Raw genomic sequence first — 26,715 nt, forward strand, 5'->3', positions numbered from 1 at the left:
TCTTTTGAGAAGTGTCTGTTCATGTCCTTTGCCCAATTTCGATGGGGTTGTTTGTTTTTTTCTTGTAAATTTGTTTGAGTTCATTGTAGATTCTGGATATTAGCCCTTTGTCAGATGAGTAGGTTGCGAAAATTTTCTCCCATTTTGTGGGTAGCCTGTTGACTCTGATGGTAGTTTCTTTTGCTGAGCAGAAGCTCTTTAGTTTAATTAGATCCCATTTGTCAATTTTGGCTTTTGTTGCCATTGCTTTTGGTGTTTTAGACATGAAGTCCTTGCCCATGCCTATGTCCTGAATGGTAATGCCTAGGTTTTCTTCTAGGGTTTTTATGGTTTTAGGTCTAACATGTAAGTCTTTAATCCATCTTGAATTGATTTTTGTATAAGGTGTAAGGAAGGGATCCAGTTTCAGCTTTTTACATATGGCTAGCCAGTTTTCCCAGCACCATTTATTAAATAGGGAATCCTTTCCCCATTGCTTGTTTTTGTCAGGTTTGTCAAAGATCAGATAGTTGTAGATATGCGGCATTATTTCTGAGGGCTCTGTTCTGTTCCATTGATCTATATCTCTGTTTTGGTACCAGTACCATGCTGTTTTGGTTACTGTAGCCTTGTAGTATAGTTTGAAGTCAGGTAGTGTGATGCCTCCAGCTTTGTTCTTTTGGCTTAGGATTGACTTGGCGATGCGGGCTCTTTCTTGGTTCCATATGAACTTTAAAGTAGTTTTTTCCAATTCTGTGAAGAAAGTCATTGGTAGCTTGATGGGGATAGCATTGAATCTATAAATTACCTTGGGCAGTATGGCCATTTTCACAATATTGATTCTTCCTACCCATGAGCATGGAATGTTATTCCATTTGTTTGTATCCTCTTTATTTCATTGAGCAGTGATTTGTAGTTCTCCTTGAAGAGGTCCTTCATGTCCCTTGTAAGTGGATTCCTAGGTATTTTATTCTCTTTGAAGCAATTGTGAATGGGAGTTCACTCATGATTTGGCTCTCTGTCTGTTATTGGTGTATAAGAATGCTTGTGATTTTTGTACATTCATTTTGTTTCCTGAGACTTTGCTGAAGTTGCTTGTCAGCTTAAGGAGATTTTGGGCTGAGACAATGGGGTTTTCTAGATATACAATCATGTCGTCTGCAAGCAGGGACAATTTGACTTCCTCTTTTCCTAATTGAATACCCTTTATTTCCTTCTCCTGCCTAATTGCCCTGGCCAGAACTTCCAACACTATGTTGAATAGGAGTGGTGAGACAGGGCATCCCTGTCTTGTGCCAGTTGTCAAAGGGAATGCTTCCAGTTTTTGCCCATTCAGTATGATATTGGCTGTGGGCTTGTCATAGATAGCTCTTACTATTTTGAGATACGTCCCATCAATACCTAATTTATTGAGAGTTTTTAGCATGAAGGTTGTTGAATTTTGTCAAAGGCCTTTTCTGCATCTGTTGAGATAATCATGTGGTTTTTGTCTTTGGTTCTGTTTATATGCTGGATTACATTTATTGATTTACGTATACTGAACCAGCCTTGCATCCCAGGGATGAAGCCCACTTGATCATGGTGGATAAGCTTTTTGATGTGCTGCTGGATTCGGTTTGCCAGTATTTTATTGAGGATTTTTGCATCAATGTTCATCAAGGATATTGGTCTAAAATTCTCTTTTTTGGTTGTGTCTCTGCCTGGCTTTGGTATCAGGATGATGCTGGCCTCATAAAATGAGTTAGGGAGGATTCCCTCTTTTTCTATTGATTGGAATAGTTTCAGTAGGAATGGTACCAGTTCCTCCTTGTACCTCTGGTAGAATTCGGCTGTGAATCCATCTGGTCCTGGACTCTTTTTGGTTGGTAAGCTATTGCTTATTGCCACAATTTCAGCTCCTGTTATTGGTCTATTCAAAGATTCAACTTCTTCCTGTTTTAGTCTTGGGAGAGTGTATGTGTCGAGGAATTTATCCATTTCTTCTAGATTTTCTAGTTTATTTGCATAGAGGTGTTTGTAGTAATCTCTGATGGTAGTTTGTATTTCTGTGGGATCGGTGGTGATATCCCCTTTATCATTTTTTATTGCGTCTATTTGATTCTTCTCTCTTTTTTTCTTTATTGGTCTTGCTAGCAGTCTATCAATTTTGTTGATCCTTTCAAAAAACCAGCTCCTGGACTTTTTAGAATTCTTTGTCAGTCATTTTGCAAATCTCCGTTCCTTTAGGGTCCATTGTTAAGAGTTTTATTAGTTTATTTTGGAGGTGTCATCATTCCTCGATTCTTCACAATCCTTTTGTTCTTGCACTGCTGTCTGTTCATTTGAGGAGGTAGCTACCTCTTTTTATAGGTATTAGTTGGCAGGGATAGACTTTCATTATTTAGTCTAGCCTTTCATTCTAGATTGGCCAACTGGTACCAACCCTGGGAAGGTAGAGCTTGCTTTCTGCTTTCAGGTTCTCCGGATGGCTCAGCTTTTGTCTTTGCTCTGAGTTCAGTTGGGACTACTGGCTGGGCTCTGATTTTTGGTATGACCACTAAATGAGCTATGCAATCAGACAAAATTGCTTGCTCGGATGGTGATTGTCTCTGACTGGGCCGGGCCACAGGATGTATTTCCTGGCTGGATGGTACCACTATTTGAGTTCTGGAGTTGTATGGGGTTGCAGGCTTACTCATAAAGTTAAGTGGGGACACTGCTCAGGATGGAGAGAACAGCTACTACACTTGGTGGGAATGCACATTTGATGTTTGCCTTCCTGACTGGGTAGGACCTTGGGGTGGGCTTTGAGATTTGAGCCAAACCACTGTTTGGATTCCTTGTTGGGGTGCATATAGCCCTTTCACTTTGCCAAAATGCACTGCGGCAAGTATCTCCATCTCTGAGTGGGCTTTGGGGATGATTTTGAGGCTGAGTTGAACCACTGTTAGAGTCCCCAGGTAAGGCATTTCTAGACCCTACACTGTGCTAATAATGGGCTGTGGTATGCATCTCCCTGCCTGGCTGGGTCCCTGTTGTGGGTTTTGAGACTAAGCCAAACCACTGTTTGGGCTTCTGAGTGGGGCAGGTCTAGCCCTTGTACTTTACCAAAATATGCTGTGGTCATCTCCCCCTCTGGACAAGGCTTTGTGGTAGGATCTGGGGCTGGCATGGAGGCTGATTGTCTAGGGATTCAAGCCAGGTAGAACTTCCTATTTCCCGGGGCAACCAGCTTGACTTTGTTGGTTTGTTATACTGTTCGCTAATGCCCCTAATCACATACCACTGCTGGTGGTTACATAGACCTACCACCAAGATCTGCATGTTTGTCACTATGAGCTTTGCCTTCCTGCTCTGTTTCTACCTGACCACAGGTAGTCTAGCCATGCTATTACCCCTATGCTCTTTGCAAGGTGAGACCAGAGTTGGCTTCCTGGGGGAGGTATCTTGGAACACAGGGAACGTGAATGTCCACCTCTAGTTCTCTTTTCCTACTGTAGAAACTGTGGGCCTAGAAAAATTCTAAGTGGTGTTGTGCTGACTTGGGAGAAAGGGAGAGGTGATGTGGTCAGAGTGAGGCTATTCTTTTTACACTTCTCATGTGGCATTTTGTTTGGTTATTTAGTTCACACAGGTTTCTCAGGCTTAATCTTGAGTTTTGAAGTGTTCACATAGGAGTTTTTGTCTGTGTACAGTTGTTAATTGAACATTCTATGAAGGGTAGGGAAAACTGGGACGTCCTATTCTTCAATCTTCCTGATGTCACAGAGAATCTGCATTTTGAAAAGATCCATACGTGATGGTGATTGATATGGATATTAAAGTTGAGAACTACTAGGTTAAACATCTGTTTTCATGTGAAACATGAAAAATAAGCTAGATTTTGAGTTGCAATTATAGGGTAATACACATTTTTCAACTTTTTCATCTTTAATCTTGTTCATAAGAGGCTGCAACTGATCCAAAAACAACTTATTCCCAGGCTATAGCAAAGGTTTTCAAACTCAAACAATGTAGAATTACAAAATGTAGAGTTCACATCTTCTCTGGCTAAGATAATGTTGACTAATGAAAATAATGGTAGATTGGAAAATCTATTTGAGTTACTATACTTTCTTGTACCTAAGATAAAATACCCATATGATGATTATTGTTAATCCTCTACAGAAACATGATGAAAAGAAGTTTTAGTTGAGCAGAGGAGATAGAAAGCAAGATCACAGGGGGTTGGGGAGTGAATATGAAATGTAGAAGTAGAGGTTGACTATACTCTTTCATGTCACTTGGCACCCTCCAAAGTAAAAGGAATTTGATGTAATCAATTTGCCACCCATTGCTGGCTGGTTTTCTCAAAGATTGGTGCCATATTGAGGGCTTAACATTGGTTTCTCATCGAGGCTGCATCTTCAGTGGCTCAGTGATTTGTCACCAACCTTGGTAAGATAATGCCTGTATTTTTTGGCACGTGCATATTTTCCATTTATACAGCTTTCTTTATATTCCCTTTTATAAGCTCTGAGGTGAATGAAATCAGAGCTGACTGACATTTTTAGATGACTCATTCTTTTCACTTAGCTATTGAGTGCCTCCACTCTGGAGGATACTCTCTAATGGGCACAGAGTTGAGAAACAAAGATCTGCATACTTTGTGCTTATTCTCATAGGCCCATACATAGGCCTCCACCTCAAATTTCATTAAATCTGATTTTTCTGTATTTTGAGGGGGTTTGCTTAGTGAAACTTTTTTACAACAATCATTATACTACACATATCCTTATCTTGCATAGCAAGCTATTTCTCCCAACATTCAAAGTGGACAACTAAGTATATTGCTACCGAATCACTGGCTTACGAGGATTTCCTCCACCACTACATTCTATGGCTACCCTGGAGAGGCGTTAAGCTGCAGCATTAGTCAGTTTTTATCTTGTCTAAGTGTAGATTCAGACAATCCATTTGTGATCCAAGCCTGAGGCTCTTTCTTCATTTATTAGCTGGTTGTGTGAAATACCATGAAGCCATAGGTATGAACTGAGGAAGAGATATTGTCACAATGAAGGCATGTTTGTATCTTATGGAAATGCTTTTTACTGTATCTAATAGTTTTCAATTCATTCTATCAAGTGCCAGCAAGCTCAATATGAGATAGAATTTAATATTGGTAAGATAAGATTGGTTAATGATCAATTTGAAGATAATTACAAATATGGGCACTGTGCACATTTATAACAGTTGAGATTATATTTTATTAAGAATTTCTATCATTTTTTCTCATATAATTAAGAAATATAAACAAAACTGGCATGGACAGGTGAAACTCAGTGTTAAATTTATCAGCACTTTAAAGAGATCCCACCGTTGAAGTCAGTTTGAATGAAGTTCTAAATTGTTTGTATTTTCTTCCTATATAAAAGAGGTTTTCAGGCAAGTATTTAGCTATTTAATTTACATTTCACATGTGAGGTATAATAAAACAACCACTCTTTTCCCCAGAACTCTCATAAATCCTGCCTTTCAAACCCAGAAAATATTCTCAACTCAGCTTCCTTGTGACACAAAAACTAATTGCAGTTGCACCTCATTTTGTGGAGCAAATAGCTATGATGGCTTACAAATTAAAATTCTGTAAACTACATTTCATATTGTGATTCCTTTTCATTAAGTTTTTGAGAGTTGTATTTGAAAAAATGGCATAGAACGAAACAAAAGTCAAAATTAAAGCAAGATATTAGTCAAATATTTTATAAAATGGATTTTAAGAGTTTTATTTTAGTACTGTCCAGCAGTACTCAAATAAGTCACACAGTATTAATACTAAATTAGTTATGGTATCAAATCCTGTGTTTAAACTGGGTTTACAACAAAGAAAGCTATATCCTGAGTAATGCTCACCTTTTTGTTTAGGTCTTTGCTGCACTATATTCCAGGTAACGAATCTGCTTTAAATTCCTAATTCTTGGTTGTGTACTCTCTGAAAAAACACTGAATATCAAACTAAGGCTATTAGTCTATTTATATAATGTAAAGACCACTTGCTACATTTTGACAAGCTGGACTACTTAAAACTTGGCTCTTTTTCAGCCAGTATCTCTTAGTGGATAATGATTGGATTATAGTGTTAATTGTGAGAGCAGTCTATGATATCTGTCACATGTGTTACCAATTGCTTTAGCTCAGTAATACAAAAAGGACGTCTGCATTCTTTTTAAAAAGTTGAGTTACATATACACGTTCTGATTAGCATAGACATAGAATTTTACATACGTATTATTCACTTCAACAGAAAATCTAATTCACTGTTGAAACATTCTTAAATAAGACCACAGTAATGCAGATTGTGGTGAGTGGTGTTTAAGATGTTAATGGCTCATTATTATAGCAGTTCTTAAATAAAACAATAAATTTGTAGACAAATATTCATGTATAATAAAGTTAATTTGATAAATGAAAATTCTCTTATTTATATTTTATTAACATCTTTTCCAGTCCTGAAGATTTTCCTCAGATAATCTTTCATCTCTTTGTTCCTGAGACTATATATTAGAGGATTACAGAGTGGTGTTATCACAGAATAGAACAAGGTAATGATTTTTTCATTTTTACTGGGTGTGCTGATCCAGGACTAACATACATCACCATGATAGAGCCATAAAATAAGGTGACAACTGCCAAATGAGAGGCACAAGTGGAGAAAGCTTTTCGTTTGCCAGCCTCTGAAGGCATCCGTATTATAGCCAGAATCACCAGAGCATAGGAACAAAGGATAAAGAGAAAGGTGCCAATTATGAAGACAGAATTGAATGTGGAGTAAATGAGCTGGGTGATGATGATGTCTTCAGAACAGGACAGCATCTTCAATGGGACGGGATCACAAATAAAATGGTTGATAATATTTGGGCCACAGTAGGATAGCTGTGAAATGAGAATCACCAGAGTTAGGAAGATTACAAAGACACATGACCATGCAAAAATGATGAGGCCAGTGCATACTTGTTTAGTCATGATGCATGGATAACGTAGAGGGCGGCAGATGGCAAGATACCTGTCAAAGGCCGTGATGCAAAGGAAGAAGCCCTCATCATACCCCAAAGAAAAGAAGTAGAACTCTGCAAAACAACTCATGAATGAGATGGACTTGCTTGTGGAGAGGAAGTTGGCCAGCAGTTTAGTTGCAGTAACATAACATATTTCCAGGAGAGAGAAATTTCCCAAGAGGGTGTACATGGGAGTGTGAAGGTGCTGGTCCTACCACACAGCACAGACAATGGCTGCATTTCCCATCGGGGTGAGAGTATAGGCTACTGAGAAGAGACCGAAGTAGAGGAGCTGCATTTCTGGGCTTGAGGGAAAGCCCATGAGGATAAGGCAGCTAACAAAATTGATAGTTTCCATGCTGAACACATTCATTAGTCTGGAAGACATGGAGATGGCAGAGGTAACTGAAACATGAAAGGGAGCGTGCTGTTTCTTCTTGGAAACAACCAAAATTCTTCATCATGTATATTATAAAGTAGTAAACAATTAGACTTTTGTTTAAACAACAAAACTGTGACTTTCATGACTCAATTCCTACACATGTTTATTTTAATAAATCACAACAATAGAAGGGAAAATATGAATTGTGGAGAGTTTTTTTTCTTGCTAAGAACACTAGACTTGAAACCAGGAATGCAAATTTTGTGATTCCAATAAATTACCTATATACAATGGGTCTACTCTTTCTTCTGTTTACCTGCATTATTGATACTGTATTTATCTGGGTATGTAGTTCTTTCAACAGTACTATGAATACCTGATTCATTATTATTAGTGGTATAAAAATAAAATACAAAACCAAGATATTTAAAAATACTCTTTCTCAATATAGTGCCATGCCAGGGCACAAATTAATATTTACTTTCAATTTCAGCTACTCCCTGTTACTTGTAGTGTTTTAAAGTGGTAATAAGAAAGAATTCTGTCATTAGAGAATATATGGTCTTTTATGCTGTTTCATGTATCTGTACCAATGTTTAGCATAAAAAATACATTCTTTCATTTTTAGGCAGCTGGATACGCTATATGCTGTGAGGAAGTGTGCCATACTTTGGCTCTTAAATTGCTCTGACTAAATATTTTTATATGCTTCCAGGTGAATGTAAGAACTTCATATGCCTATTATGACATTGACCTTAGGGAGAACAGCTGGTCTGCGTGACTGTGGCCAAGTTCAATGTGCTTGTTTTTTGTTAACCATGGTCAAGTCAGCTGCAGGAAAATAAGAAAGGCAGATAAAGTTTATATTACAAAAGTTTCCATGTTTTTTATTCACTGCTTTCTTCCACATGTTCCTTTTCTTCCTTTGACCTTTGGTGTTATTTTGCATCTCACTGTGGTTGTTTTCTGAGGCCTTTCCTATCTAGGCAAATCCGAAACATAAAACTTTTCCCCTGATTACCCTCCGGTTAACTTCTAGCCCAAATAACAACAAAAACAAGAAAAAGTCATATGAGCTGAAGATTTTTGTTTCTTAAATAATAACTAATTTGTATAATACCAAGTCTTATTAATGTAATGGAACTGAAAAATCAGTATTTGGGCTTAAGAAAGAAAATATTGCTGGAAAGAGAAATATGCCATATTTCTTCTGCTCACCAAGTAACAAAAATTGCCAAAATATACCCTTCTCCAGCAATTCATCAGTTAATATACATCTTCACTTGAAATACTATTCTTTTTGTATATATGGCTATTCATATTTTAAAGGGATATGAACCATAATTGGAAAATATTTTCCAGATTTCAGGGAAACAAGAAGAAAAACTTATATTTTTCAGCTTCATTCTTTGCCAGCTTTTCATTCTGAGATATATTTTTAGTTTTCTCAAAGACAAGAAGAAAACATTTTCTATGATTTTTGCAAAAAAAACTGGGTGACTCACATGTTATATACTTCCCATTCGCTCTTTGAGTGAATGCTGAGAAGGTCAGGGACAGGAGACAAAATATTATTCCCCAGAGCCAAAGACATGTGAAGAACTTCCAAGAAATTGCATGATCCTGTTTGTTATCTCTCATGGGTTGCAAAAAGTAAACCCTAAAAGATTTTCCCCACCTTCAAAGCATATATTAATGGTCAAAATGCAAGCTCAAGTGAGTGTATTATATATATCTATTTACTTGCACTATAGCCTTTTGGGACTTGGAGCTCTGTCTCTCTTGGGATATTTTGATAGTGTTTGTTTAAAAGAGGATAACATTTTGAATTTTCACAATCAAAAGCCAGTTCTTACTGTCCCCTAAAGAATAGTGAAAATGTAGAAGCAGATCTTATATTTTCTTTCTTCTTTCGTGTTCATGTATTGTCAAAACTTCCTGAGGAATAATTAAGTAGTAAAAGGGATTGTCATTTTAGCTACAGTGGTTAGCTTTACCATAATACTCTCTAGATCTATTTTGAAGAAAAATCATTCTCTGGTCATCAAATATTTGTACCTGCAGAGTTATTAGAGATATTTGAGTTGAATTTTATGTAGAGCACAAGAAATTTGATTGACATTTAGTTATTCCACAGATATTTACTGAATGCCTACTGGATACTCAAACATATACTCTATATATTTTTAATTTTTTGAGGAACCTCCATATTGTTTTTCATAATGACTATACAAATTTACATTACCACCAACAGTGTATAAACGTTCCCTTTTCTCTGCATTCTTACTGACTATTACCATCTTTTGTCTGATCATGAACATTCTGACTGGGCTGAGGTGCTATCTCATTGTGGTTTTGATCTGCATTTACCTGATGATCAGTGATGCTGAGGATTTTTTCATATGCTTTTTGGTCATTTGCACGTCATATTTTAAAAAATATCTAGTCAGGTTTTTTGCCCACTTTTAAATTGAATTATTTGGTGGTAGTGTTTTTTGCTATTGAGTTGCTTGAGTTCCTTATATATTTTGAATATTAACCCCTTATCAGATGTATAATTTGCAAAAATTTTCTCTTATTCTGTAGGTCATTTTTTGGTTCTGTTGTTTCTTTTGAGCAGAAGCTTTTTATTTTGATGTAACCTCATTTGTCTATTTTTGTTTTTCTTGCCTTAGCTTTTGCCTACATCAATGTTGTGTAGTTTTACAGCTTTAGGTCTCATGTTTTAGTGTTTAAACTATTTTTTGTTGATTTTTTGTATATGGTATGAAGTAAGGGTATAAGTTCGTTCTTCTGCATATAGATACCCAGTTTTCCGAATACCATTTATTGAAAAGACTGTCCTTTCCCCATTGTGTGTGCTTGGCAGCTTCGTCAAAATATTAGGTGACTGTGTATCACCTGTGGATTTATTTCTGGGCTCTGTATTCTATTCCATTGGTTTATGCATCTGATTTTATGCCAGTATCATGCTGTTTTGGTTACTATAGCTTTACAGTATACTTTGAGGTCAGGTAGTATGATGCCTCCAACTTTGTTCTTTTGGGTCAAGACTGCTTTGGCTATTCCAGGTCTTTTGTAGATTCCATACGTATTTTAGGATTGTTTTTTCTATTTCTCTGAAGGATGTCATTGTTATTTTGATAAATCCATAGCTTGTTTTGGGTAGTGTGAACATTTTAACAATATTAATTATTTGAATCCACAAATGCAGGATTATCTTTCCATTTATTTCTGTCTTCAAATTTTTTTCATAAGTGTTTTATGGCTTCATTATAGGTATCTTTCACATCCTTGGTTAAATTAATTCCTAAGAATTATATTTTTTTATTTTGGAGCTATTGTAAATAAGATTGTTATCTTGAATTCTTTTCAGACAGTTGATTATTACCACATAAAAGTGCTGCTGATTTTTGTATGCTGATTTTGTATTCTGCAACGTTACTGAATTCACTTATCACTTCTAAGAGTTGTCTTGATAACGTTTTTATGTTTTTCTCTATATAAGATCATGTCATCTGCCATGAGAAACAATTTGACTTCTTTTCCAATTTGAATGCGTTTTATTTCTTTCTCTTGCTGATACTCTGGCCAAAACTTCCAATACTATATGAAATAGGTGTTGTGAAAGTGAGAATCCTTGTCGTTTTTCAGTTCTTAGAAGAAGGATTTTCTGTTTGTCCTACGTCAGTATGATTTTCACTGTGAGTTTCTGATATATGGCCTTTATTATGTTGAGGTATGCTCCTTCTATGCCTAAATTTGTTTAATTTTTATCATGAAGCAATGATAAATTTTATCAGATGCTGTTTTTGTATCTATTGAAATGATCATACACTTTTTGTCTTTTATTCTATCAGTGTAATGTATCAAACTTTTTGATTCATTTATACTGAATAACCCTTGAATTCCTGGAATAAAACCCACTTGGGCGTGGTGAACTGTCTTTTTAATGTGTTATTGGATTCAGTTTGCTAGTATTTTGTTGAGAATTTTTGCATCTAAGATCATGTTATTGCCTTGTAATTTATTTTCTTTCTTTTCTTTTTTCTTTCTTTCTTTTTCTTTTCTTTCTTTCTTTCTTTTCTTTTTTTTTCTTTCCTTCCTTCCTTCCTTTCTTTTTACTTACTTTCTTTCTCTCTCTCTTTTCCTTCCCTTCCCTTCCCTTCTCTTCTTTTCTTTCTTTCTCTCTCTCTCTTTCTTTCTTTCTTTCTTTCTTTCTCTCTCTCTTTTCCTTCCCTTCCCTTCCCTTCCCTTCTTTTCTTTCTTTCTCTTTCTTTCTTTCTTTCTTTCTCTGTCTTTCTTTCTTTCTTTCTTTCTTTCTTTCTCTCTTTCTCTCTCTCTCTCTTTCTTTCTTCTTTCTTTCTGACAGAGTTTCGCTCTTGTTGCTCAAGCTGGAGTGCAATGGTGCCATCTCAGCTCATTGCAACCTCCACCTCCTGGGTTCAAGTGATTCTTCTGCCTCAGCCTCCCGAGTGGCTGGGATTACAGGTGCCCACCACCATGCCCAGCTATTTTTTTTTTGTATTTTTAGTAGAGATGGGGTTTTATCATGTTGGCCAGGCTGATCTTGAACTCCTGACCTCAGTTGATCCACCTGCCTTGGCCTCCCAAAGTGCTGGGATTACAGGTGTGAGCCACCGTGCCTGGCTTTTTCTTTTTTTTTAGTTTACTTTAAACTTTGGTATGTATGTGGTAGGTGCATATATTTATTGAGTACATGAGATACTTAGATACAGGCATGTAATGCATAATAATCACATAATGGTAAATGGGGTATCCATTCCCCTCAAGCATTTTTATCCTTTGGGTTACAAACAATTCAATTACACTCTTTTAGTTACTTTAAAATGTACAATTAAATTATAATACACAATAGTCATCCTCTTGTACTATTAAATACTAGATTTTATTCATTCTTTCTAACTACTTTTTGTGCCCATTAACCATCCCTACCTGCCCTCCCATCCCCCTAACCACTATCTTTCTCAGTTTCTGATAACTTTCCTTCTACTCTATATCTCCATGAGTTCAATTGTTTTAATTTTTAGCTCCCACAGTAGGATTTATCCCAGGGATGCAAGAATGGTTCAATATGTGCAAATCAATCAATATGATAAACAATAAACAGTATGAAGGAGAATAAGCATATGATCATTTCAACTGATGCTGAAAAATTTGATAAAGTTCAACATCCATTCATCATAAAAATTCTAAAAAACTGGGTATAGAAGGAACAAACTGCAACATAATAAAAGCCATATATGACAGACCCACAGATAGAATTTTGCTGAATGGAAAGAAACTGAAAGCCTTTAATATCTGGAGCACAACAAGAATGCCAACTTTTACCACTTCATTGACTATAGTACTAGAAGTCCTAGCTAAAGCAGTCAGACAAGAGAAAGAAATAAAAGGCATCCAAATTGGAAAGGAAGAAGTCAAATTATCCTTGTTTGCAGATGATGTGATCTTGTATTAGGAAAGACCTAAAAACTCCACCAAAACACTATTAGAACTGATAAACAAATTTAGTAAAGTTGCAGGATACAAAATCAACATATAAAAGTCAGTAGCATCTCCATATGTCAACAGTGAACTGTCTGAAAAACAAATCAAGAAAGTAATCCCATTTACAATAGCTACAAATAAAATTAAATACCTAGGAATTAACCAAAAAAGTGAAAATCACTACAATGAAAACTATAAAACATTGACGAAAGAAACTAAAGAAGACACAAAGAAACGGAAAGATATTCCATGTTCATTAGCTGAAACAGTCATTGTTAAAATGTTATACTACCAAAAGCAATCTACAGATTCAATCTCTATCAAAATACCAATGCCATTCTTCACAGAAATAGAAAAAACAATCCTAAAATTGATATAACCAAATGACCCAGAATACCCAGAGCTATCCTGAACAAATAAACCAAAACTGGATAAATCACATTACCTGACTTTAAACTACACTATAAAGCTATGGTAACCAAAACAACATGGTACTGGCATAAAAAACAGACCCATAGGTCAATGGAACAGAATAGAGAACCCAGAAGCAAATCCGTACATCAACAGTGAGCTCATTTTCTACAAAAGTGCCAAGAACATACATTGGGGAAAGAACAGTCTCTTCAATAAATGGTGCTGGGAAAACTGGATATCCATATGCAGAAGAATGAAACAAGACCCCTATCTCTTGGCATATACAAAAATCAAATTAAAATGTATTAAAGGCTTAAATCTAAGACCTCAAAAAATTAAACTACTAAAAGGAAACATTGGGGGAAACTCTCTTAGATATTGGTCTGGGTAAAGATTTCTTGAGCAACACTCCACAAACACAGGTCACCAAAGCAAAAACGGACAAGTGGGATCACATCCAGTTAAAAAGCTGCTGCACATCCAAGGAAAAACAATCAATGTGAAGATCAAACCCACAGAATGGGAGAAAATATTTGCAAACTGCCCATCTGACAAGGGATTAATAACCAGGAAACAACTCTATAGGAAAAAACCCTAATAATCTAATTTAAAAATGGGCAAAGGATCTGAATAGAGATTTCTCAAAAGACAATACAAATAGCAAACAGATACATAAAAAGGTGCTCAAACACCATTGATCATCAGAGAAATGTTCCTCAAAGCTACAATGAGGTATCATCTCACCCCATTTAAAATGGCTTTTATCCAAACACAGGCAATAGCAAATGCTGGTGAGGAAGAGGAGAAAAGGGAACTCTCATACTCTGTCAGTGGGAATGTGAATTAGTACAACCACTATGGAAAACAGTTTGGAGATTCCCCCAAAAACTAAATGTAGAGCTACTTTACGATCTTGCAACCTCATTGCTAGATGTAGACCCGAAAGAAAAAATAGCAGTATAACAAAGAGTTATCTGCATTCTCATGTTTGTTTTAGCTTTGTTCACAATAGCCAAGATTTGGAAACAACCTAAGTTTCCATCAATAGATGAATGAATAATGAAAATGTGGCACATACATATACAATAGAGTACTATTCAGCCATAAAAAAAAATCAGATCATTTGCAACAACATGGACGGAAATGGGGATTATTGTGTTAAGTGAAATAAGCTAGGCACAGATAGACAAACTTCCCATATTCTCACTTACTTGTGGGAACTGAAAATTAAAACGATCGAATCATGCAGATAAAGAGTAGAATGATGGTTACCAAAAACTGAGAAGGATGGTGGAGGTGTGGGATGTGGAAAAATGGGGATAGTTATGGGTACAAAAAGATATAAAGAATAAATAATATTTAGTATTTGATAGCACAACAGGGTGAATATAGTCAATAATGATTCAATTGTCATTTAAAAATAACCAAAAGAATATAATTGGATTGTTTGTAACACAAAGGATAAATGCTTGAGGGGACGAATACCCCATTTACCATGATGCGATTATTATGTATTGTATGCCTGTACCCAAATATCTCATACTCTATAAATGTATACACCTACTCTGTACCCACAGAAATAAAAAATAACAAAACAAAAAACATTGTTTAGCAAGCCCAGCTAAGGGTCATCTGACTCTCTAGCAAATGTGATTTTGTTTAACTTACTATATATGAATTATGGAATCTCAGACATTGTATAATTACATATAGCTAGATGTTATAGAAAACTGCTACATTGTATCTTTTTAGTGTGGTAGAAAAGATAATCCCAAAGATTAAGGTCGTATTGCCCCTTTTTAGAGCTGTATGAAAAAATATGAATATTTTTGTTATGTTGATATTTTTAACTTTTAAGTTCAGAGGTACACGTGCAGGTTTGTTATATAGGTAAATCTGTGTCATGAGACATTAACTGGATTACATCAAATTTAACAATTTTATTTTAGTGTTCATTTTTTTGCTGTGATTATGTAAAATCACACTTTTCATATTCTTTTTGGAACGGACTTTGTTATCCTGCTATCCCTCATTAATTAAATACAGTTTTTGATGTGTTCATTATGTATTTGTTTGAGAATTATGTTTTATGATATTTAAAAATTAGACTGACAGTCTATAAAAAATTAAATTACTAATGACAACAGCTGTGTTTTCTGGATACGATCTATGAATAAATGCCAGTAGGTAAGCTGCTTGAGGTTTCAAGAAATCAGGTGTTGTATCAAGACACTCTATATTACCTTAAAGGATAAATACCAAGCTATCCCTGGAATTATCTCAGAGATAAATACCTTAGGTTGGTATTTATCCTTCAGCTTCTGCTACTTCAAGGAGCATGATTGAGATAAAAACCAGTGAGAATCTTCTTCAGATACAGACTGAGGCATTGAAAATGGATGGCATATACAAACAAATCAATGACAAATTACAAATAAATCAATCCAAAGTAAGTAAAATAAGTGGGTTCTGTTATGCAACAGGTCTAATTGCTTCAGAGCCTGCAGGTCCCAAGGTCAACTTCCTAGCAAGAACTAAATTTAACAGAACTCAAACAGCAGCAGCCTAGGGAATCCCAGGGCTCATTAAGCTAAGTAGTGTTGTAAGAACCATAGCAACCTCAGATACAGCTAGAGTCCTAGGGATAGGAGATATTTCCAGTTCATACAGCCAGCCGTCAACTAGGGCTTGGCTTATAAGGAAGCAATTAAGACATGTGCTGGGCAGCTGTGATGGTCACCTGAGGATTGTCCATTTTGCTGGCCTGAGGCTGAAGAGAGGGTTGGTAGGATGAATGGCAGGATAACATCTTCCTTCCTTGAAACCACATAGCTTCTGACAAGCAAAGATGTAGGTTTCTCAGATATATTTACTCAAAGCTCCCCTCCCCTTCCTGCTCCTCTGTCTGACTCTGATGCTATTTTTATGTTTACTGTTGTCCTCACTCTTTTTCTCTATATACTCTGGCATTGATCATTTTTAAATTTAAGAGATCATTTGAGTTTTGTTGTTTTAAATTTACACTTAGAAACATTCACAGAACAGTGAAATTCCTATAGCATCAAGGAATTCTAGGGCTAGTGGCATCTTAGAAGACAGTTGCAATATTTGGATACGATAGGACCAAATTTACATAACTGAAGGCACAGGTTTCATGGCAATATTGTCTTAAGACTACCTAATTCTGTTATAGTCCCTTCTAGATTCTGTTTTCCATTTCTTTAATTATTAAAGTTTCTTTTTACTAAAATCTTCTTTACGTTCCACAGGTACAATATAGAATGCAATGTTTCAAACAAGGCCAAAGAAGTTTAGAACAGAAAGATTGTTTCTTTCTCAATAGAGAATACCACTATAGGTACCATCTTCAACTAATGGTGTCCACTTCTTGGTTTTCAGGAGAAATTTAAAAATGCATCAAATGCGTCTAAAAGGAATTCATATGGAATTGAAACTCCAGCTAGCCAATTATTTTCTATTGTTGAGATAGTCAAATTTCCTCCTCTAATAATGCATTTAGCTCCACACAGACCAAAATAAATACAAGACAAACATAATAGCAAAATATGGTATACTGTTATGCTTAAAACACACACATGCACAAGTTACCAGGAGAAAAATTTTACTCCTTTTCTTCATATTTTCCTCATAAACATCTCTGGTTCCTTGTTTAGAAAGACGAGAGACCAGCTGCTCAGCTGTACACAAGTAGCCTTTGATTATTTAAGGTGCTTTAGTTTGTCCTCTTCTCTCTAAGCAGGACCCTTCCATAAAGACTTTCATTTTGCATTAAGCATTCTCAATTTTTTTGGCTCATTTTGTGTACTTAAAAATATTTTTATTGACTTTTTCACATTCTTAGGTTATTTTTAGGATATGAAACATGAAATGCTTGGTAGGGTCTGATCTTACTGCTAATGGGATAATGGAGCTGGTATTTTTGAATGTGGCTTTCCAAGCTCTGCAGGGCTTTGGCAAGGGAAATTATATTGTGACTGGGGTTAGTTTTGGGATGTAGACATTCATTCATGTTGTTGGGTGTATTGTTCTTTTTATTCTTTGCAGAACAGTGACAGGCTTAATTTCCTACTGTGATCAGACTTCAGAAGCTGGGAGATGACTCAACCAAATGTGGAAATGTTATTAAACCTAAAAGGGAGCTTTCTATATTGTTTAGTATTATGTTTTATATTGTCTGAAGATTGCAAATTTACTGTCATTAAAAAAAAAATCCAAGAATAACCAGAATCCAGCCCTTACCTTGATTAAAACTCAAATAACTAACATACAGGGCTGCCTATTTTTAACTTATGCAAGTGTAAAGATTTTTATATCATTATTAATCAAAATCTTATCACAGTAATCACCTAGGAACTGTTCAGAATATTTATAGTGCTGAAATTTCCTAATATTAAATCTTACTTTAAACAAGTAGGCCATAAAATCAGGCTTATAAATGGTTTGTAGTAATTTGGGTTATAACATATTTTACATATTCTTCTCTTATTTAATCTATCCTTCTGATTTATTTAATTTTAATATTGTCTGTTTTAATGTAATCTTTTCTTTCCCAACATATGTTCAGTGGAAATAACAAGTGTACCGTACACCCTTGGTATACTATGCCCTTCACATTAGGAAATAATCACATTGTTTCTCAGCCATATTCTGAGACTAAATTATAACAGTGTGTAGGATTATGTGTTCCCATTGTTTTCTGGCTTCTAGAAACCTTTTTTAATTAAAAAAATAACTTTGGTTTCTCTTTCTCAGACTTTTCCAGTTTTCCCAAGATTATTTTAAAAATTAGATGCATAATTTTAATGAGACTTGACCCCTGTTAATTATACATTTTAGATAACTGAAAAGAACATCAAAATGATGTTTTCTTATGGAACTTTACAATCCTTGGTGCATCCAAAAAAGATTAGAGAATTTCCAATATAGCAGAGCTCAAGTAGGGCTGTACACATAACAGCAAATCGTTCCCTAACTTGTATTTCTTGCTTTGGTTTATTTTCCAATTGACTCTAGAAAGTGAGGTGATTCCTTCTATCAGTTATGAGATTATAGATTTAGATGCACCTGTGCACTTGGCTATATAGGTAGATGAAGAGGATGGTCACAATCATGGTGTGACAGAGGCGTCCAAATGTGACTTGAGCCCCAAATCTCTCTCTCACTGGCTTATCTTGGAATAATACCCTAGAGAAAGTTTTCTTGTCATTAGAGGTTTTCATTTTTAGAATTTAAGTACTTTTCTGCATTGTCTATGTAAATACCTGATATCTATTATGAAGGATTTTATTGGATAACATTCTCTGAATGACTTGATAGAACCAAGTGCAACATGGATTACAAAGCTTGGAACACAAAATAAAATCTTGTCTTATTTCATATTTTGTCTATAGCTGGTTCTAGATAAAAAAAAATTCTAGACAGGGAGACATCTACTAATTTTTAACTACTGCAATGGAAGAAATGTATCAACATTCTCTGATTTTCTGTTTGTAATCCAAGGTACTGTCACCAAACATTGGGGATGAATATGAGTGTAGAGCAGGGGAAAATATATCTAACAATATCTTAGCAAATCTTTTATTTTCTTATGTATCTATGGTTGTTGAAAAGTCCAGAAGCAACACAACTCTGGTTTCTCTTATTACTTTGTCCTGTAAAAGGGTCATGGTGGGCTTTTGTGCATGCCTCCACGATATGGGTCATGGCTCTTGGTCTCTTGTCTTGGTGATTGGTGTCTTTTAATCATTGTCCTACTCATCCCCAGTCTGATGCTTCCCTAAATCTTAAAGATTGAGACTGTTTCTTCTTACCTCATTTTTACAAACTTCCCAATTTCTGTAACCTGGGATAGTAAAGACAAAAAATATGAGCTTTTTCAATCCTTCCTAAATGATTTGTTTCCTAATATATTTATTCACAGTAACTACTAAACTTTGTACAACATAGCAATTTGTTGTTTACAAAACATTCTTCCTTCGATTTGATAAATTATTGAGCTTCTGCTATGCAGTAAATATTGTGTTGTGGATACAAAGATGAGTAAGATATTTCCTCATCTTGAGAGATCTAGTTTTTTTTTATGGTGCACATAGGCATTACATTTGATTCTCAGAACAATCTTGGGAGATATTATTAACTCTGCATTAAATTGAATAACCAAAGAACAAAATTCAGAGAGGTTTATTTCCTTGCCTGAGAGTACTCCATTGGTAATGGTGGAGCTAGGCATTCGATCTAGATACTCCATTCCAGAACTTTTGTCCTTAGAGGACATTATTCTGTCTATTAAAAGAAATGGAAAGATTAGCACTTACCACCTCATGTCCAGGTCATTGTGTTTCTTTCTAGTTTATTGTGAATGCAATTTAAAAGTAGTACAGGAATAAAGAGTTGGAAGAAGTGAACAAAATTCAATGTTCTATCAATATAAGACTACTGCCTATACTACCTCATAGAATTTGCTAAAATAATTTTTATGTAATTTATGTATTACATACTATATATATAGTGTATATCTATATCTATCTATATAGATAGATACGTAGATAGATTGATACCTTAAATCTCCCTTGTTCTGATTTAATTCTTCTTTCTCTAGGTCACTTGATATTCTTGGCTTGATGAAAAAAAACAAGATTCTAACGTGACAGAACTTGTTCTTCTGGGCCTATCATCTTCTTGGGAGCTGCAGCTATTTCTCTTATTACTATTTTTGTTTTTTTACATTGCTATTGTCCTGGGAAACCTCTTGATAGTGGTAACAGTGCAAGCCCATGCTCATCTGCTCCAATCTCCTATGTATTATTTTTTAGGTCATCTCTCTTTCATTGACCTATGCCTAAGCTGTGTTACTCTGCCAAAGATGTTAGGGGATTTCCTACAGCAGGGCAAGAGCATCTCTTTTTCAGGATGCCTGGCCCAGATCTACTTCCTCCACTTTCTAGGAGCCAGTGAGATGTTTCTGCTGACAGTTATGGCCTATGACAGGTATGTTGCCATCTGTAACCCTTTGCGCTACCTTATAAGTCATGAACCCCCAGCTATGCCTTTGGTTGGTTCTTGCCTGCTGGTGTGGGGGTTTTATCCACTCTATCATGCAGGTCATACTAGTCATCCAGCTGCCTTTCTGTGGCCCCAATGAACTGGACAACTTCTACTGTGATGTCCCACAGGTCATCAAGCTGGCCTGCATGGACACCTATGTGGTAGAGGTGCTGATGATAGCCAACAGTGGTCTGCTCTCTCTTGTCTGCTTCTTGGTCTTACTATTCTCTTATGCTGTCATCCTGATCACCCTGAGAACACACTTCGGCCAGGGCCAGAACAAGTTCCTCTCTACCTGTGCTTCTCACCTGACAGTGGTCAGCCTGATCTTCATGCCATGTATATTCATCTATCTGAGGCCTTTCTGCAGCTTCTCTGTGGATAAGATATTCTCCATGTTTTACACAGTGATGACACCTATGTTGAGCCCCCTCATCTACACACTCAGAAATGCTGATATGAAGACAGCTATGAAGAAGCTGAGGATAAAACCATGTGACATTCCATTTCCTTGTTAAAGAATGAGCAGAAGAGGTGATTTGAAAAACATACTCTTTCTTGGAAGACTCTTAACTCATCTTGTACATGTCTAAAAACCATTTTGATGACTTTGGTATAAAAAAGATAGCCTAAAGATTATAATAGATCACTCTTGATTACAATTTAAAAGCACAGGTGGCACTCTGGAAAGCCACCTATGCCTTTTGACCATAATCAAGAGAACTCGGGAACTCAGTAGAATTTACTGGCCACAAATAACAAGCATTAATTGAAAGATCAACTTTTCTATCTTCATGTTCTAAGTACTCTTCATTTATTCAATTTGTTCCACTTTTTAATCTATTCAAATGAAACAAGATATATCTCTTTTTGTGTTCCTTTCCTCCAGCATTTAATGATTCCTAGTGTTAGGAAGTTCCTTCTGATGTCTCATCAGATCCTCTTCTGAAGTAGTGTGAATTTCTTTGTTCTGTTATAACAAAGCCTGAGAACAGTAACAACCACCTATGTAGTAGTATTTACCTCAGAACTGTGTTCCACAGTGTCCCAAGTTTTAGAAATGTAGTCAGGCATCACTCTAATGAACATATGCTCTTAGCAAAGTTTACGTGTGAGAGAAAGGAAGTCCAGGAGTGCAGGGGTGATGGAAGCTGTTAGTATTCTGTTGTAGAGGCTTCTCAAGAAGAGGTACCCAGTTTCACATTGAGTTTTTCTTTGAGTGGAATTACAGTGAGGGTGAATAGGTAAGCTGGCTCTTCAACTGACCATAATGTTTAAGAGTTTTAGCCTCGAAAGGAGGAAGAAATGAACTGTGGTTGAAAGCACTCATTCTTGAGATGCTCACAGTTATTACCTCTGAGTCTCAAACATGTTTGAGGAATAAATTTACCTAACTTCATTTTTGAAAATGAACTCTGAGTTAAGTGACTTGCCCATGACCACTTAGAAAAAATGTAATCAATCAAGAAAGCTGCTTGTAATCCCAGCACTTTGGGAGGCCAAGGTGTTCAGATCATCTGAAGTCAGGAGTTTGAGACCAGCTTGACCAACATGGAGAAACCCCATCTCTACTAAAAATACAAAATTAGCCGTGCATGGTGGCGCATGCCTGTAATCCTGTAATCCCAGCTACTCAGGAAGGCTGAGTCAGGAGAATCACTTGAACCCGGGAGGCAGAGGTTGCAGTGAGCTGAGATCGCACCACTGCACTGCAGCTTGGGCAACAAGAGCAAAACTCGGTCTCAAAGAAAAAAAAAAAAAGAAAGCTAATAATTATATAATTAAGTTAATATTTTATTTCTCCTCAGAAAGTGTATTTATCCCAATTATACAGATTGCTTCTTTCTTTCTCTTTCTTTCTGTGTCTCTTTCTCTCTTTCTTCCTTCCTTTCTTCTTTCTCTTTCTTTCTTTTTTTTTTTTTTTTTTTGAGACAGAGTCTTACTCTTGTCTCCCAGGCTGGAGTGCAGTGGCACGATTTTGGCTCACTGCAACCTCTGCCTCCCAGGTTCAAGTGATCCTCCTGCCTCAGCCTCCTAAGTAGCTGGGATTACAGGCACCGGCCACCATGCCTGGCTAGTTTTTGTATTTTTAGTAGAGACAGGGTCTCTCCATGTTGGCCAGGCTGGTCTTGAACTCCTGACCTCAGGTGATGTGCCTGCCTCAGCCTCCCAAAGTGCTGGGATTACAGGCGTGAGCCACGACACCTGGCTAGATTACTTAATTTCTATAATACCTGTATAGGAGCTTCAGAGCTGGAAGATCCCTAAAAAGGTTAACTTAAACATTTATATTTAAGATTATCTATCTCTGACATAGGATCCTTGCAATATTTTATGGCTATGAAAAGTCTTTATTCTATTTACTATATAATAAGATAATGACAAATTTTTATAATGTTTTTTATATTTTGTCACTTTATCTCCTAATGAATTGCCATAGAGAGGTATTTATGATTACTTAGCTGAAAAATATACTTGTGAAAAAAAGTCTGAAACTCCATCTAATACTAGGATATACTGGAAAATGCCAATAACCCTGGTCATGTAAGAGCTTTCTTGATATAGGGACAAAAAATGTATTTTTATTTTTGTGTTGGGAGTTAATGACTTCATATTTAAGAAGCCATATGTACGTATGTGTATATGTATATATTGCTACAGAAGGACTCCTCACAGACTAGGAACTAGGCTGCCATTTGGGAGATTTCTAAATAGTATGGGTGAGGGTGAGAATGGCATACCTGGAACATCATGTTCTTCTTTTTTGCTTTACTCTGCTCTACACTTTTAGAGTTTTTTGCATACGTTGAATATCCTGAAGAGCAGTATGATATCCTGAAGGTAATATTTTGAATATCCTGAAGTGCAGGAAACTGCCCGAGAGTAGTGTGTGAGTTACCAGAAAGATTTGAGTGGTGCTAGGGATTACCAGGCATGTTTCAAGAACATAGAGCTCCAGGCTTTCTCTTAGTATAAGCCGGCTGCAACATCCCCTTTTTCTGATGCTCTCTTTCATAGCAAAATGTATAGTCTTGGCAAATCATTTTAAATGTCCTGTTGATAGCTGGAATTGGTAGCGTTATTTTAAGAAAAGCAAGAGCGTTTTGTATTCCCTTTTGCATTTTCAAGTCTCTCTTTGTTTCCAGGAACAAAGCCTACTTGATCGTGGTGAATTAACTTACTGATGTGCCGCTGAATTTGGTTTGCTAGTATTGTGTTGAGGATTTTTGCATCTATGTTCATCAGGATATTGGCCTGATGTTTTCTTTCTTTGTTTTGTTTCTGCCAGATTTTGGTATTAGGCTGATGCTAGCTTCATAGAATGAGTTAGGGGGGAGCCCTTCCTTTTTGATTTTTTTGGGAATACTTTCAGTAGGATTGGTACCATTTCTTCTTTATATGTCTGGTAGAATTCAACTGTGAATTCCTCTGGTCCTGGGCTTTTTTTGGTTAGTAGAGTTTTTTTTTTTTTATTACTGATTCAATTTCAGAGCTTGATATTGACTTATTAAGGATTACAGTCTCTTCCTAATTCAATTTTAGGAGATTGTGTTGTTCCAGGGATTTATCCGTTTCTTCCAGATTTTCTAATTTGTGTGCATACAGTTGTTCATAGTATTCTCTGAGGATCTTTTGTATTTCTGTGGGATCAGTTGTAATGTCATTTTTGTACTTTTTGACTGTACTCATTTGGATCTTCTTTTTTTTTTACTTTTTTTTAATCTAACTAGCAGTCTAACAATCTTATTTTTTCAAAAGACTAACTCTTGGTTTCATTGACGTTTTGTATAGATTTTTGCACCTCACTTTCATTAAGTTGTTCTCTAATTTTTGTTATTTCTTTTCTTCTGCTAGCTATGGAGTTGGTTTGTCCTTTATTTTCTAATTCCTTGATGTGCAAAGTGCAGGAGGATGAAGCTAGACCCTTGCTTTTCAGCATGTAAGAAAATTAACAGGATAGATTAAAGATTTAAATGTAAGGCCACAAACTATGAAAATCCTAGACCAAAATCTAGGAGATATTTAGAGACTTTTAATCTAATTGAGAAATTGGAAACTGAGTCTTCCTCTCTTGATTAAATAAAATGTTACTTTTCTATAGGTGAGTAGCATACATTATATTTGAAGGATTCTGAAATTTTATACATCAGATCTTATACTCTGACTTCATGCTTTTATTTACAGCCTCAAAAAATTAATTAATTTATTTAAACAAAGTTCTCACTCCAAAGTAAATTTCTGACAAGAGAAGTTGGAGGTGGGGGGAGAGAGAGCGCTGATTAGGGAAAAACATTAAATTCAATAAAAAAGACTCAGATTCTCTAGGTTCTTGTATGGAAAAGAGGAACTATAAGACTAATTATGAAAGAAATTCAAATGTGAGTCAATAGTGTGGAAATCAAGCTAAAGACAAGAAAAATATTCATGAACTATGTTCAAGAAATATGAAGAACTTTCTCTACCATATTTAACATCATATAGGTGTTTTCACAAGACTCTTACTGATAGGCTTTACTATGCTTACCATGGTTTATAACGTGTTTATTTTTGCAGAGAACCAGAGTCACTCCACGAGTCCTGCCTGGGGCCCCATGAAAGTGGCCAACAATGTCACTGAGTTTATATTCCTGGGACTTTCCCAAGATTCTGGAATGCAATTGATGTTCTTTGTCTTATTTCTCCTCTTCTACGTCGTGATCATGGTGGGAAATTTGCTCATTTTGCTTATGGTCTTTTCTGACTCCCGACTACACACACCCATGTATTTCTTCCTCAGTAACCTGTCTTTTGTGGACATTGCCTGTTCCTCAGCCACAGCACCCAAGATGATTGAAGACTTTGTTTCTGAGAAAAAGACTATTTCCTACTGGGGCTGTATAACTCAGATGTTTACCTTCCACTTTTTTGGTTGTGCTGAGATTTTTGTTTTGACTGTCATGGCTTTTGATCGCTATGCTGCTATCTGCCAACCCCTCCGTTACACTGTCATCATGAGTGCTAATGCTTATACTGTGCTGGCATCACTGTCCTGGTTGGGGGCCCTGGGTCATTCCTTTGTTCAGACCGTCCTGACCTTCCAGCTGCCCTTCTGTAATGCTCAGGTTATAGACCATTACTTTTGTGATGTCCACCCAGTCCTAAAACTTGCCTGTGCTGATACAACTCTGGTAAATATGTTGGTGGTTGCCAACAGTGGTCTCATCTCCCTGGGGTGTTTCCTCATTCTTTTGGCCTCCTACACAGTCATTCTGTTTAGTCTTCAAAAACAGTCTGCAGAGAGCTGACACAAAGTTCTCTCTACCTGTGGATCTCATCTGACTATAGTAACTTTCTTCTTTGTTCCGTGTATCTTTATTTATCTCCATCCACTACTTTCCCATTGGATAAAGCTGTGTCTGTGTTCTATACCACCATCACCCCAATGCTGAACCCACTCATCTATACTCTGAGGAATGAGGAGTAAAGAATGCCATGAGGTGGCTATGGAGTAGCAAGATCTCCTTGAAGGAAAAGCAGAGAGGATAGTTTGTCAGAATTGCAAAATCACTGAATTAGTGGATACCTTCAATGATCCCTAATTTACTAATAATTAAAAAAACAGTTCCTAAAATGCAGCTTTTATATTTTGTCTAACAGGAAATAATTTGAGGCTATTTTAGACGGGCTAAACTTAAACCTTTCCATACTTGGCAAGGTTTATTCTCTCTTCTAGAGTACAAGAGTTAACACTCCTACTCAATATCTCATTTAACCTCGTTAAATCCCTTCTATTCACATCAAACTCTCTTAAGCTACCATTCAGTAATTTAGAGTGGGGTTATAAGAGAAAGATATCCCTGATCATATCTTCTCACCATATCATGTCTCTTCAAAAAAGAGGTCTAATTTACCAGAAGCTGCACCTTTTCCCTCCTTCTTTTGTTTTCTTTTTCGTCCTTCTCTAGTCTTTTCTTATACATATTGCAAAATCTAGTCAGGGAAACAGATTTGCAAGGAGATAATTACAATACAATACAACAAATGCAGACATAGAAATACATACTTCCTATAATGAAGAGGGTTAGTATAAATCAACAAATTGCCCAAAGGATGGTTTCTGTGCAGGAAAAAAAAAAATAGAACTTTACATATTTTGAGGTGGACAGCAATTTCTTCAAAGACCCTCTTGGAGAATTTGAATACTCTTCTACCCATTACTATAATACTATCTTTACTGAAAGAAATCTTACTTTTTTGCCAATAAAAACAGACTAGATTAAAGCAACTAAAATGAGTTGGTATTTGTACCATTGAAATGACTAAGGAGATGTAATTCTATTATAAATTTTTAGTTGAACTTGTCTTCAGTTC

At 36.1% G+C, this 26,715-nt stretch overlaps 1 long non-coding RNA gene and 2 pseudogenes across 1 annotated transcript in view; 2 read left to right on the forward strand and 1 right to left on the reverse strand.

The window, feature by feature from the left end:
• Positions 1–26,715, forward strand: part of LINC02203 (long intergenic non-protein coding RNA 2203) — an 87,749-nt gene that overhangs the window by 36,389 nt on the left and 24,645 nt on the right. The window contains exons 4-5 of the long non-coding RNA NR_015416.2: positions 6,445–6,539; positions 19,919–20,307. This is a non-coding gene — a long non-coding RNA (long intergenic non-protein coding RNA 2203). The remainder of the gene's footprint in view (positions 1–6,444; positions 6,540–19,918; positions 20,308–26,715) is intronic.
• On the reverse strand, positions 6,523–7,365 carry OR11K1BP (olfactory receptor family 11 subfamily K member 1B pseudogene; annotated as a pseudogene).
• Positions 24,891–25,828, forward strand: OR4H6BP (olfactory receptor family 4 subfamily H member 6B pseudogene; annotated as a pseudogene).

The sequence above is a fragment of the Homo sapiens genome, chromosome 15 (assembly GCF_000001405.40).
Source record: "Homo sapiens chromosome 15, GRCh38.p14 Primary Assembly".
NCBI lineage: Eukaryota > Metazoa > Chordata > Mammalia > Primates > Hominidae > Homo > Homo sapiens.